We start from the raw sequence: 13,695 nt of genomic DNA, 5'->3' as shown, positions 1-13,695 counted from the left end.
TGACCTGCCTAAAAACTGGCTTTGCTTAAAACATGTAGCCCTCTTTATCAGCATCCTCTAATGTTTTGCTGAGATCTTGTGCGTAACTATTTTTTCCCTGGTTCATACTGAATCCTTTTTGCTGAGAAGTCACTTGCTCATGGGGCTTGTCTTATTGTCTTTTTGAAGACAGGACCTTGCTGAGTGGGATTGCTAAACGGAGCACAGTGCTAAAAATCTCCTGGGTTAAATGTCACCATACTCCCATCAGGGCCTGGAGCACTTGCTCTCAGAATTTACAAACATTAACTCATGTTGGCGCTCTGTGTTGCCCAAGGAGAGCATCTCTACAATTTATGAAATTCTATTTTACTGCCAGAAGTCAGCAAAGAGAAAAAGAAAGAAAGAGAGGCAGAAAGAGAAAATTCCACAGTCATATTTCAAACACCAAGGGATAGATTTTTTTCTTAAGAATATAAGATTTACAAGCTCCAAACAGGAGTGAAATAGTTTGCAGAAGCTCTCACAGCAAATGAACTGGTAGAGTTCAGATTCAAATCCTGATCTGGTGCCAAGGGCAAAGCAGGTGGTCTTTAATCCTACCAGGCTTCTCTCTGTGAGAAGGGGACATGCTTACTGTGGCCTCAGCAGACAGAGTAGGCTGCGTGGGATCTGGGAGATCTTCTGTGAATGGAAGGCATCATTTCACCACTGTGCAATTGAACTAAGATACATTGTTTTATTTATTTTTTATTGATTTTTATTATTATTTTTTTGAGACGGAGTCTCGCTCTGTCACCAGGCTGGGGCGCAGTGGTGCGATCTTGGCTCACTGCAACCGCCGCCTCCTGGGTTCAAGTGATTCTCCTGCCTCAGCCTCCCGAGTAGTTGGGACTACAGGCGTGCGCTACCACGCCCAGATCATTTTTGTATTTTCAGTAGAGACGGGGTTTCACCATGTTGGCCAGGATGGTGTCAATCTGCTGACCTCATGATCTGCCTGCCTTGCCCTCCCAAAGTGCTGGATTACAGGCGTGAGCCACCGTGACAGGCCAGATTTGTTGCTTTAAAACAAAGCATATATGGTGGCTTACTATGATGTCAAGCACTGTTCAAAGCACATTACAAAGCTGGGCAGGATGGTGCTCGCCTATATTTCCAGCTACTGGGGAAGCTAAAGTGAGGCGATCGCTTGAGCCTAGGAGTTCAAGGCTGCAGTGAGCTATGATGTTGCCACTGCACTCCAACTTGGTGACAGAGTGAGACCCACTCTCTAAAACAAAGACAAAAACACATTTTACAACTGCTAAGCCATCTGCATGTGTTCATTAAAACTTTTTCTGGGGACTTTTTCTGGCTCATCCCTGTAGTCCCGATGCTAGGGGAGGTTGAGGCAAAATGATCGCTAGACAGCTGGTATTTGAGGCCAGCCTATGCAACATATCAAAAACCCGTGTCTATATGTAGAAAAAATATTAACTAGGCGTGATGACACAAGCCTGTAGTTCCATCTGCTTGGGAGGCTGAGGCAGGAGGATGGCTTGAGCCTGGGAATTTGAAGTTCCAGTGAGCTATGATTGTACCGCTGCATTCCAGCCTGGGTGACAGAGTGAGACCCCTGTCTCTAAAAAACAAACAAATGACAACAGCAACAACAACAGAACACTTTTTCTGAAGCTAGCACCATGCAGTTATGTACTTTATAAATTGCTAGTCTAATTCCAAGGGAATAGTTCAGCAGCTGATATTTGAGAAGGACCTGTAGAAAGGATTCAAAGACCACGGACACCGTCCACTGTTTTTCTGTTTTCCTATAAGATAGAAGAAGGATGGCATTATTAATTTATGCCCTGTTTACCTATCCCAAGTCCCAGATCACTGGATCTTTAAAGATTATGATTCTCGCTTGGCTTTTGGTACAAAAGGAGACAAGGAGGGAGCTTAAAAGGTGAGCACGGTGTGATTCAGGACTGAAGCTTCTGCCACTTCCTGGGGGGTAACTGCAAAAGTGAGCCGTTCTGACTAGCCGTTTGTGCATTTGCCACTGCCAAGGGGGCACAGGTAGATTCAAGCTTTGGGGCTCTTCTGACAACTGGCAAGGATAAGGTATTAGCAAGGGCAAAGGAATAGTAATAAAATAATCCAATAACAAAGACATGAAGATTTATAATAATTTTTAGGCCGGTGCAGTGTTTCAGGACTGTAATCCTAGGGCGCTTTGGGAGGCCCAGGCGGGAGGATCGCTTGAGGCCAGGATTTCGAGGTTAAGGTGAACTGCGCTCCAGCCTGGGCAATAGAGTAACACCCTGTCTCTAAAATGAAAAGAAAACAGTTTAAACCTTTTAAGTGCATACCAAATCTTTTATTTTGGAGAAGGAAAACTGGTCTCGAGTTCCGTGTGAGCTCCCTGGGGCCCGCCGGGAGGGGGTTGGCACGGCCGGACCTGCAGCACTAGTTCTGGCCAGGGCGCTGTGGGATCTGCAGGGGACCACAGGATGCTGTGGCGCGGTGCGCTCAGATTGGCGGAGAAACGGCCACACGCCTACGGAGCTACTGAGAAGGCGAGCGGAGGCGCAGCCCGCCCGCCCGCCGCGGGAACCCCAGGTTGGGGCGCTGGGCGCGCGAAGACTCAGCCGCCCCGCCCACCAAGGGCGCGTCGGTCCCCGGCCGCAGCCTCTGGGCTGGCAGCCGCCGCCGCGCCGCGCTCCCATTGGTGCCCGGCGGTGACGCGGCCGAGCGGGCCGGGGCTGCCTGGTCCGGGGGCGGGCGTGGGGCGCGGGGCGCGGAGCGCGAGGGGCGGGGGCCGGGCGCACTGCTGATGAAACCTGGCGCCGGAACCCGCCAGCCCTCGGCGCCCATTCAGTCCGCGCAGGCAGGTGTGAGCAGCGGGTCAACTACCTGGCAGGCGCGCACGCGGCCGCGGGCTCCCGCTAACCGCAGCCTCCACTCCTCTCCCCGCGCGCCGCGCCCCCGCCCCGCCCCGCCCCGCCCGGTCTCGCCGGCCGAGCGTCCGTTGGTCCTTGAGCGCGTCCGACAGTCTGTCTGTTCGCGATCCTGCCGGAGCCCCGCCGCCGCCGGCTTGGTGAGTGCCCGGCCCCGCCAACGCAGGGGGCAGCTCCTTGGGCCCGGGTCATCACGGAGGGGGCCCTGGCGCCGCGTGGGGCCGCGGCAGGGCGGCGCGGGAGTGGCGAGGGCCCCCGCGCCGGGAACGCTGCCATCCTCTGGGAAGGGCCAGGACCAGGGCCGGGCGGGCCCCGGAGTGGGCGAGCGGGGCTGGTGCCCATGCGACTGTCGCCTCCACGGAGTCCATTTTGGCTCCCTGAAACCGCGGCGTGGTGCATGATGCAACACCGAGTGAGTAAGCGTGGGCGATCTGGCGATGCCCGCTCCGCGCGCCTGTCCGGGGACCCGCGCGCCGCTACGCACGGGGTGGTCGGGGTGCGTAGGCGGGCGGCGGGCACGGGGGCCAGACTGGGAGGCACACGGAGCCCGCCGGCGGCGAGGAGACCTTCCCTTACATGGCGCGGTGCAGAGCACCCCGCCCCGCCACGAGGTCCGGGGATGTGTCATCAGCCGTGGGTGGGGACTCTGCCCGGCCGCCCGGAGGGTGGTCCCGCGGCAGGTGGCCGGCCCAGGGACTCTGCTGCCATCCCCGCCCGGTGGCCGCCCTGACCTAGGGCGCCTGGCTCTCCGCTTGTCCCTAGAACCCGGGACGCGCCGCCTGCACCTCTCGTCTGGGTCCCCAAGATTGCTTTGAGGAAGTCTCCCCTAGGTGGGCTTCCTTGTGACCCAGTGTGGCCTGGAAAGGCCGGGTTCCTCAAGCCCTCCACATGGTTTGGAATGAGAGGAAGTTCTTCCGCCTTTAGCAAGACACCGTATTCTCAGGGTGTTCCTTTCTGCGTAGTAGAAAACTTCCCAGGCATGGGCAGGTCAGAGTCATTCTAAAACCTGCGCGTACACAGAGCGGCAGCTGCACTGTAGTACTACAACAGCCTGCTGGTTCAGCTCCTGACCCTTTCCAGGGGATGGGGGAACCAGACAGCAGTTGTGTTTGACTTGTGTGACTAGGATAGTCAGACATGTGCCTTCAGGAAAAAAATAAATAAATAACCTACATTTCCCAATACTCACGTCATCACCGCCATGCCCTCATGTGTTGGGTTTTAGTCCAGACATAGTTACCAGATGGTTGAGATTTCAATCCCAGGTGTATCTCCCTAAAGAATGTGCCTTTTATCTTACTTACATTCGACTAGTAGAATTGTGTATGTCGGCCTCTGGCCGAATGCCCTAATTGTATTTAATTCGAATTATAATTTATCTGGGATTTTTCCTAACATTTCTTGCCCTTTATGTTTGGTTCAGATAATAGGAAACCATGATACATTTATTCCTCTGGTATTTTTAGTTGATCTCAGTGGAAATTACCATGATTTTTATATGAACACACCCTCCTGTTATTAAAACAAAAGGTCTTATTTAAGTCACACGAACAGAATAGAAACTTAGGGGAAAGGTCAACAATAGATTAAAATGGTTTTAAAAATAGGTTTAGCATATTACGATCATGTTTAATTATTATAAAGGTAAAATTCAAAGGATGTCAAAGGAGTTTTGAGTAAAGAGGAAAGGGCTTAGTAAGTAGATCAGAAATGTACTCCCTTGTCTGGGTCTGGATCCTAGAGCCACGTGCTCCTGTACATATGATTACTTGCTTTAGGTGAAAAAAAAAAAGAAAGGCTTGAAAGACAAGACTGTTGACTTCAGGGAGTTACAATTTTCTATTTGGTAGAAGAACTCATTCTTTGATGGAATTAAATACGTGTTGATTGATTATTCTGGTCTGTAGTTTATTTTAACCAAAGTCCATACAAATAGATAATTATGTTGGAGGGCTCAGAATTATGTCCAATTAAATTAATCCTTTCTCATTATCAACCATGTATTTGGAGGGATTGCTATTAATCCTAGGGACAAATTTGAAATGTGAATAAGTGCATCCTTGTTATGGAGAAAAATATTGTTTCCCTCTAACCTTGGAGATACTTGAGTCTCGGAGTTATCTCTTCCAGAGGCATCTTCAGAGATGCCTATCACTCCACCTGCCTCTTGGTCCTCACTCCAAGCAAGACCTTCCGATAGGATGTGGTGTTTTTCTGTATAGTTGGCCCCTGCAGACCTGGATAGATTTTAAAGGCAGATCCAATAGGATTGGCCGGTGGATTCATGGAAGGACGAGAAAGGTCAAATATGACTCCAAGCACATCGGAGTTGCTGTATTAATGAGATGGGAAGGCTGAGCAAAGAACGTGTTGGATGGAAGAGGGACTTTTTGAAAGTCACAACTGACCTTTTTAGAACTCTTATCCCCAGGGTCAGGGCTGGAAGATGTATCTTCTTGGGGCCCCTCTCAGGTGCCTGCCTGTGTGTTGCAGCCACCCGTCCAGGCTGCTGGCCTCCTTCCCCTTCACCTAGCTTTACTGGCTCCTCTCGCCAAATCTGGGGGGTCTCTTCAGCCTCTGTCTCCTTGCTGCCCATGGCCTCCCTTTGCTCCCCTGCCGCCTTCTAGTGGGCCGCCTGGTGGTGGACTTGTCCTGTGGGATGGAGACCCTCCATACATGGGGTTCAAAGGTCCTGGGGTATTCCTGGATCTTCAGGACATCTGCCTACCCTCAGGTTTCCCAGGCCTCGGGTGGGGAGGCATCAGATCCCTGGCCAACCTGCTATCCACCCCAGGGTTTAGACCTCTCTTCCCGTGAGGGAACAGAGTAGTAGCTTCATTTGTGGCAGATTATCTGCCTTGTGATAAACTTTAGTGGCCTCCCTTTCTGTTTTGCCATAATCTGCCTCCTCCCCCACTCCCATACCCATCTACAAAGCAGCCTTGAAAATAACCACCCCTGTGGTTCAGTGTGGGTCATGATCTGTCAATCCAGGCTTAGTACATTTCCAAATGGAATTACCAGAAGGATGGGCATCAAACTGGGAAAATGATTTGGTGGCTTGCTAGCCGTGTTCCTTTTTCTCCCAAGGCATTCGTTCAGATGTGCAGTGTTGGCAGACCCAGGGGATGCCATTTACCTGGCCCACTGGTCGAGATTTGGTCATCCCAGGAACTTGGGCTTCAGAAAAGATGTTTCTGGGCTTTGGACCAGATTCTGGCTGGTCTGTGGTTTGCCCCTCCTGCCACACCCAGTGGCTTTCATTGGGCTTTTTTCCTCTAGTTATTGTCAGGAACAGTGGGGAATGGCAGGTATTGCATTTGGTGAACACACTGGATAACTGGAATCAGAGCCGTGTGACTGAGGGAAGAGGCCTTCACAGCTTCAATGCAGAATGGGATGATTATCTGCCCTGAAACGAAGGATGCTTCTTTGAGGGGAGTTGGGACCAATACTGGGAACAGCACCGCTCCTGGCTTCTCTGGCTTTGCTTCTCTCTGAAGTAATTTAGACTTCGTGAACCTTACATACTGGCTCCATCTGTATATTGGGAGAGCCTGTCCCTCTCAGCCTCACAGTAGTGAAGTTAGGAAGCATGGAGTCCACAGTGTTCTTTGAAAGAATCAAGGCACCAAGTCCATGCATTTACATTTCTCTCTTGAGATCAGTCCTTTTGTTAGCAGCCTGCAATTCTGACCACGGCAACCAAAAATTTCTGACCGTGGCAACCAAAAATCAAGCGCGAGGAAACCTGGGGGTTTATTTGGAGGTGGGAGAGGATGTCCCTTCTTCTGGTAGGACTATGTCTGGCTACATTGTCTTTCCATTTTTTTCTGATTGTCCCCTTGCCCCCCTCCCTTTTCTGGGGGCACAGAGGGCATGGCAATTTTGTTTCCTAGCTTTCCATATTCCTACTGCAGTGCTTTCTTCAGAATACTTGTTCAGATCGGATTCTTGGCTGTGAGGGCAACCAGCTGCTTTCCTGTTTCTTTAAAAGTGGATCCCACACTGCCGTGTCCTGCACAGTGAGTTCTGCATTGTAGAAACCATCTAGCAGTGGTGACTCAGGGAGTGGCCTCTGCTCGGTATGGGGCCTCTGCAACATGAGGTTATGGGGCTTCTACGCTGTGGGGTCAAAGGAGACATCATGATCCCTACTGGCAGAAAGAGCAGAGCCCCAGAGTGGGTTCCACTTACGGGGTCAGTGTCTTTTCTGAGATATTCCTCAGAACCACATTTAAATTCTTTTTCATATTGTTTGCATAATAATTGCCTTCTAGTGCCTACTTTATAGGACTGAGAGGATTTAAATGAGATAATCCATGTTATGGATTTAACACAGCCTCTGGCACAAGTCTAAATGTTGCATGTAAGTGTTAACTATTATACTGGAAAGAAGGCTCAGTTCCTTGATTTAGGTGTGGGAGAAAAATATATATATATTTTGAGATAGGGTCACACTCTGTCACCCAGGCTGGAGTGCAGTGGTGCAGTCACAGCTTGTATTAGCCTCCACCTCCTGGGATCAAGCGATCCTCCCACCTCAGCCTCTGAGGTACCTGGAACCATAGGTGTGTACCACCACACCCGGCTAATTTTTATTTTTTATTTTTTGGTAGAGAAGGGATCTCATTATGTTGCCCAGGCTGGTCTCAAACTCCTGGCCTCAAGTGATCCACCTGCCTCGCCTCCCTAAAGTGCTAGGTTTATGGTCGTGAGCCACTTAGCCTAGCCCTGAGAAAAATAATTTTTACAACAACTTAATTTCGCTCTCTCATTTTACCAAGGCATTAAAATGTTGTGCTCTTTCCTTGGGTGGGTTTCTAAATTAGAAGGGGCAGACATAGTCCCAGGGTGCTGGAGGAGGGATGCGGGCCTCTGAGGCATCTGCTGACAGGTTCACCATCCCATCTGGTCCCAGGTCTGAGGGAAGGAACAATAGTCTCTGGGCTGTTTTGGCTCTGACTGCCTGGATGGACTTGAAGCCATCTCTCTTTGGAATCCTGATGTCTCCCTGAGCATGGGGTGCAGGTTTGCTTAGGACTCAGACCCATGCACCTTGCGCTCAGTGACTTCTAGGACTCCTGGGAAACAGAGCTCTCAGCCCCTTTCTTAGTGTTTGCTGTGTGTGGGTATGTGTATGTTTATGTGTATGTGTATGTGTATGTGTATATGTATGTGTGTGTGTTTGGTGGGGGGCAGGACGGGAGTGACTGCCCTGGCTACAGTCATCCCAAACATGTTGTTCAAATTACTCCGAAGCCCTTGGGTTTTAGAAAAAGCAAAGCTGAAAAGCTGAAACTCTGGGCCGTGTTTCCCACCTCACTCATCCCGTGCTTGGGTCTGTAGGATAGGATGTCTCCATACAGCACAGGGGTGGTGGGCGACACCCACCTGGGGGCAGCAGTGAGAAGGCAGGGGCTCATCCTCCCCACAAAGTGGCTGGAGTTGATCTGTTATGGACGTGTTCGAAGTGTCCTTCTCTGCATCTTGTCTGCTTACTGAGTGCCATTAGCCAAAGTCTGTTAGGCCAAGTAGGAAGGAAGGGAGGGGCCCTGGGGCTAGGTAAGATCAATCATTGCAAGCACTTATTTAGTGCTCACCATGTACTCTGCGCTTTATCTATGTTTCATTTGAATCTTCCTAACCACCCAGTGGGATCGGCCCTTCTGGTGTGACTGATGGGGAGAGGGGAAGGCAGGTGGCCCACGGGCACACAGGTAGGCAGTCAGTGGCAGAGTGAAGATTGGAACCCAGATGTCTGCCTGTACCTGGACTCCAGCCTGTCTCGGGATAGGCCTGGCCTGGCCTGCCCTGTGTACACTGAGTGGGAGGCAGACAGATCTGAAGCCCATCTGCCTGCGTCCCTCTGTTTCTGGCTGAGTCCAGGTGGTGCTGGCACCGGTCACCCGCCCCAACGCTGGAGGGCACCCTGCCTCCCCTCTCTTTGCCCTGATTTCCCTCTGCTGTCTCTGAAAGTGGGTCTTCCCCCTCCCAAGTCCAGGCACCTGGCACAGCTGGAGCCCTGGGGTCCTTGGGGCAGCTGCGCTGGGACGTGGCCAGTGTCAGGAGCCGGTGTGTGTGACGGAGGCTGGGCTGCATTCTTTCTGGGTCAGTAGTTTGGCATTTACATCACCAGCCTTTGGCTGGATGCAATGCCTCCTGCCCAGACCACAATGGAGCCTTGTTTGATTTATCACCATCCAGCCACGCCCACACTCCACCTCCATCTCCACCTGGGGAGACCCCTTTGCAGGGGGTCTTGTGGAAATCAGAGACTGTTCGTAGGGGAAAGTCAGCTTCCTTTTCTGTGTTCCATCCTTCTTAAGGCCAGTGGCCGCTGTCATCCTGCCCTTGGCTTGGCTTTGCTGATTTCTACAATATCTTGCGGAGGTGCCCCCTTTCCTTAGAGGATGCATCTTTAACACTCTCAGAGAGGCTGGGGCAGGAGCTGTCCACACCAGGGCCTGCAGCAAGGGCCCGTCTTCCCCAAAGTGACTTGGGAGAGTCTTCCTGGCCCGCAGCTTTTCCACAGTGTCAGGGACACCTCCTGCCCTCCCTTGGGATGAGGCCTGGTCTAGGAGCTGGGGGCGTTAGGGTGCAGTTTCTGGGACCCAGTGAAGGCCCCTGGGAAAGACTGGCAGTTAGAGTTAGGAGAACTCTTCCCTCATCCCTTTTGCCCTTCTCCTTTTCCCCTTTTCTTTTTCAGCAGTTTTTGGATAACATTTCAAACTTAAAGAAAAGTTGCAGAGGCCAGGCATGGTGGCTCACGCCTGTAATCCCAGCACTTTGGGAGGCTGAGGCAAACAGATCACTTGAGGCCAGGAGTTTGAGACCAGCCCTGGCCAACATGGTGAAACTCATGTCTACGAAAAATACAAAAGTTAGCCTGGTGTTGGTGGCGCATGCCTATAGTTGCAGCTACTCGGGAGGCTGAGACACAGGAATCACTTGAACCCGGGAGGCGGAGGTTGCAGGGAGCCGAGATCACACCACTGCACTCCAGCCTGGGTAACAGAGTGAGATACTGTCTCAAAAAAAAAAAAAGAAAGAAAAGAAAAGAAAATTTGCAGGAGTGCAAGGAACTCCTGGGTACCGTCTCTCAGATGCACAGGTGGGTTATGTTTTGCCTCCTTCTATTCTCTCTCCACCCCACACAAACTCACATGCACACAGACACATACATTTTTTTCTGAACCATTTGAGAGTCAGCTGAAGACGTCATGCCATTTTATTTGCCCTCTATACTTCAGTGTATATTTCCTAAGAACAAGGCTCTTCTCTCACATAACCATGGTACAATAGCAAAGTCAGGAAATTTAACATTAATACAACCCTGCGATCTAGGCCACAGTCCATATTTGACTTGCAGTCGTCCACATAATGTCCTTTATAGCTAAGTATTTTTGGGGAAGGAGTTTTGCAGTGTGGGGGTTCTTTCAAAAGAGGTGTGATTTTCTACCTCATAAGCCTTTTTAAGAAAAAGTGTTTCTAAAAGTTAGAATGTTTGTTGTGGAAAATTTGGAAACTACAGAAAATTAAAAGAAGGAGAAAATAAAACCCATTCATAATTCCAGCTCAGAGGCTGAGTGATCGACCAGAAAGGTGGTGGAAAGACTTTCTCAGCTCCTTCAGCTCTGGTGACCTGGCCACACAGACTCGTGATCCCTCCACCACCCACACACTAGTCAGGAGCCCCGCAGCCAAGTCCTGGGGCTGTGGGAGGAGCCGGCCCCTGTCTGGAGCTGACGGTCTTTCATGCTCCTGCCCACCCCTTGGGCAGGTGCCCACCGAGCAGGCAGACTTAACCAGCCTTGGTGGTGCCTTTGTGGTGCATATCCTCCAGGTGGGGAAGGGTGGAGATCGTTAATAAATATCCAGAACTTGTTTGAGACTTGAAAAGAAATGTTGCAGGCCCACTCTTGTCTGGTCTATACCCCTTGCTTCCTGGACTTGGCAGAGGTTAAGGATGGGGCCTGGAGCGTGATTGAGGGAAACAGCACTGGCCCCATATCAGTGAGCTCTTGGGTGCTTCATGTGGTTGTTAGACTTGCCTTTTAATGAGCCTCTTGGCCCCTACCAGTGGGCTACGGAAGAAATAAAATGTGAAATTTTACCATGTGAAGTTTGCTGTTTGCCAATGACTGTGCTTCTCAAAAGTTCCTAGGGAAAGGTTTTAAAACTGGTGCAGGTAGTGAAGTTTGGATCTCGCTTCCCTGCTTTGTCCGCTTAGGTGGTCCATTCGCCATAACAGCTGGAACTGAGAGTGGCTCTCCCCTTTCCTGGCCCAGAACGGGTCTTTGCTAAGCGAGTCTGGTTTCTGGAAGGATTTTGTTCTTAGAAGCTACTACGTCATTGTCCTCAGCTCCCCATCATTTGTACCTCAGTTTCCCTGAGCTGTAAGTCTATGTTATGTGTGAAAATGGGCCTCTGAAGGTCATGATCAAAAGCCTTGAGTATTTTTCCATGTGTTTGTTTTTTCTACTCCGGCCCCAGACCCTCTCCTTGAAGGAGCTGGCCTTGAGAGTGACTTCGGTGGGCAGCCGCCCAGACTCCACACACCCTGCTGAGTCCACGTAACGCCCAACCTGGACGGGCCAGAGCTGAAGGGCTACTCTTCAAAGAAACCCTTTGAAGTGCAAACATTTCCTTTCCTGAAAAGAAGGGAAATTGAAATGAAAACGTATTGTTCTGTGCAGACAATGTTCTCTTCGATCAAAGAGGGAGTGGGGCTTATAAAGGGAGATGCACAAATTAGAGCTTGATGTGGCCAGTGGTGTGGATGTGAATATTCATCCCTGTGGAGGAAAATAGTGGGGTCTCTGAGATTTGTAAGATTGTATTTTCCTTTTTTTTCTTCTTTTTCCTTAAGGCTCTGAATCTAGGTCTAACGTTCTATTTAATGATGTCTCTCCTTTGTGTTTTTATCTTGTGGTAAGCATTTGGGAGTGTCTTTCAGTAAATCATGATACCATTTCCATGTTAGAATACTATGTAGCCAGTAAGAATGGCGTTTTCAAAGAACATTTGATTTTGTGGGAGAAACTTTAATGTTAAAAGTGAAACCATCTGGGTGCAATTTCCCATGTTCCGTGTTAGCTTAATGAGATATATGTATTTGCACAGAAAGAAAAGACTGGAAAAATTGGACTTTGTTTTTCTCACTGCAGTGTTTGTGGCACCTAAAATAGTGCTCAAGAAATATTTATTGAATGACTATTCTTATAATTAGTAAAACTGTATTTAAAGGAGGAATGTCTTTGAGCTAATGTTTTGGCAGGTGGATGGGACAATATATTATTTTAAGTTTCTGTTGTAATTTTGCCCTAGCAGCTCAGTTCTGGTAGATTTTGTTCTTTGGCACACATACATACCCCATTTTGCACTTTGGTACAAATTATACTGTGAATGGGTGACTTTGACATTTATATTTTTGGAAGAATCCAGTTCTACTGAAATCAGAGTATCAGATGTTGTCTTTTTCCTAATGTTCCCAGATGGGGTAGAATTACAGCTTCTTCTTACTTACTCTGTAACTAAGGAACCTTTGGGCCAGTTTGTCCTGTCCTGTGGTTGAGAATTTTTGCCTGGTTTGCCCAGGGTTTCTCATCCTTGAGCATCCAAGGCTACCAAGATACACTGTTCATATGTCGTCCTGGTTTCTAATGGATAGTTATCTAAAAATGCAGCTTCCCATTCTTACCTGCACTGTAGGTTAGCTTGGAAGATGTCCATCCCTGGTCTCAGTGGTCTTGTTCAGGGAGGGTGACTGTCACAGCTGTCCTTTCCTCTCTGGTGAGATTGTTTCATTCCTCCTTCAGGCACTTGGGATTCAGAGCCCTGTTGGCTGCCTCTTCTGTACTGTCAGCTTAGCACAGGATTCTGGAAGCCCGGTGCTGGGAAAGCCTTTCTCTGGGCTGTTTGGGATGGGACTACTGGTTACCCGCACACACTGGTACTCACTGGGTGTTCCCGAGGATGGCGGCTTTTAAACTTCTTTGACCGCAGTCTACAATAAGAACTAAATTTACATTGTAATCAAGTACACACACAGAGGCACACATATTGATATATAGATAAAATGAAAATTTTTATGAAACAGTACTCATTTTTACTATCTGTGATACGCTGAGATAATTTTTATTCTTTTCTATTTCATTACAAGAAAAATTCCTCGTGGCAACTTGGAGTTTGCAAAACACACTAGGTTTAGACATATGAGCCACACCTCACCTGCAACTCCACCACATTGTCCTGAATTTCATGTTCACTGCTGGCACTAGGGGATGGGAGTCAATTCTCCATCCAGACCAGTTAGGGCAAAGAAAGTTGAAGAGTCAAGGTTTCTTTTTGTGGTGATTTAGGAGTTTCTGACTGAAGGGGACATTATTCTCTGTGATGATGCCCAAGAAAGTGAGTAGGTTTTCAGGGCAGACCTGTGTGAATTCCCCAGTGTGGTTTGCTTTTGCATACTGGGGTATCTGTCCTTCGTTAACCTGACACAGTGGTGTCCCAAAGGTGGCCTGGTCAGGCTGTATGTGAGTTTTTAGAAATGGGCCATACATTTGTTAATTTCAGTGCTCTGATTTTCTTTGAGTTTATTTTATTCAGCGTGATGCGACGAAGAACCTGTCTGAAAGAGTTAAGGATTTTGGGGAAGAAGAGTGAGAAAAGATACTCATAGAAATGTTATTTTTTGACTAAATCTTATGGGTTAATATCGAACGGTATTGAAACTATATTAACAATAGCAGCCATACCATTAAATAGTTCT

The 13,695-nt window shown here is 49.2% G+C and overlaps 1 protein-coding gene across 4 annotated transcripts in view, besides 7 other annotated features; it reads left to right on the top strand.

The window, feature by feature from the left end:
* Positions 2,423-3,662: a silencer, noted in NCBI's record as "silent region_5222". NCBI's record gives its function as "represses an Ori minimal core promoter by ATAC-STARR-seq in GM12878 lymphoblastoid cells {active_cell/tissue: GM12878}" and the evidence as "EXISTENCE:reporter gene assay evidence [ECO:0000049][PMID:35858748]".
* The window catches only part of SLC7A1 (solute carrier family 7 member 1), an 86,275-nt gene continuing 75,368 nt past the window's right edge, over positions 2,789-13,695 (top strand). Inside the window, exon 1 of one of the 4 annotated variants that reach the window (XM_047430551.1) lies at positions 2,789-2,855. The gene's annotated coding sequence lies outside the window, so the exon portion shown is untranslated. Of the gene's footprint in view, positions 3,334-11,684; positions 11,753-13,695 lie in introns of those variants that run through there. The other 3 variants (NM_003045.5, XM_047430550.1, XM_005266507.4) reach the window with 3 other exon arrangements.
* Positions 3,773-3,902: an enhancer, noted in NCBI's record as "active region_7521". NCBI's record gives its function as "activates an Ori minimal core promoter by ATAC-STARR-seq in GM12878 lymphoblastoid cells {active_cell/tissue: GM12878}" and the evidence as "EXISTENCE:reporter gene assay evidence [ECO:0000049][PMID:35858748]".
* Positions 3,773-4,125: a biological region, named in NCBI's record as "Sharpr-MPRA regulatory region 7938".
* Positions 3,831-4,125: a silencer, noted in NCBI's record as "tiled region #7938; K562 Repressive DNase unmatched - State 1:Tss". NCBI's record gives its function as "represses a minimal TATA promoter and a strong SV40 promoter by Sharpr-MPRA in K562 cells {active_cell/tissue: K562}" and the evidence as "EXISTENCE:reporter gene assay evidence [ECO:0000049][PMID:27701403]".
* Positions 4,992-5,491: an enhancer, noted in NCBI's record as "H3K4me1 hESC enhancer chr13:30167123-30167622 (GRCh37/hg19 assembly coordinates)". NCBI's record gives its function as "activates a minimal SCP1, AML or CMV promoter by ChIP-STARR-seq in naive H9 embryonic stem cells {active_cell/tissue: H9 hESC(naive)}" and the evidence as "EXISTENCE:reporter gene assay evidence [ECO:0000049][PMID:30033119]".
* Positions 5,492-5,993: an enhancer, noted in NCBI's record as "H3K4me1 hESC enhancer chr13:30166621-30167122 (GRCh37/hg19 assembly coordinates)". NCBI's record gives its function as "activates a minimal SCP1, AML or CMV promoter by ChIP-STARR-seq in naive H9 embryonic stem cells {active_cell/tissue: H9 hESC(naive)}" and the evidence as "EXISTENCE:reporter gene assay evidence [ECO:0000049][PMID:30033119]".
* Positions 8,154-9,150: an enhancer, noted in NCBI's record as "H3K27ac-H3K4me1 hESC enhancer chr13:30163464-30164460 (GRCh37/hg19 assembly coordinates)". NCBI's record gives its function as "activates a minimal SCP1, AML or CMV promoter by ChIP-STARR-seq in primed H9 embryonic stem cells {active_cell/tissue: H9 hESC(primed)}" and the evidence as "EXISTENCE:reporter gene assay evidence [ECO:0000049][PMID:30033119]".

The sequence above is a fragment of the Homo sapiens genome, chromosome 13, assembly GCF_000001405.40.
Source record: "Homo sapiens chromosome 13, GRCh38.p14 Primary Assembly".
Taxonomy (NCBI): Eukaryota; Metazoa; Chordata; class Mammalia; order Primates; family Hominidae; genus Homo; species Homo sapiens.
Note: the sequence above shows the minus strand (reverse complement) of the source record. Positions and strands in the feature narration are given on the sequence as shown.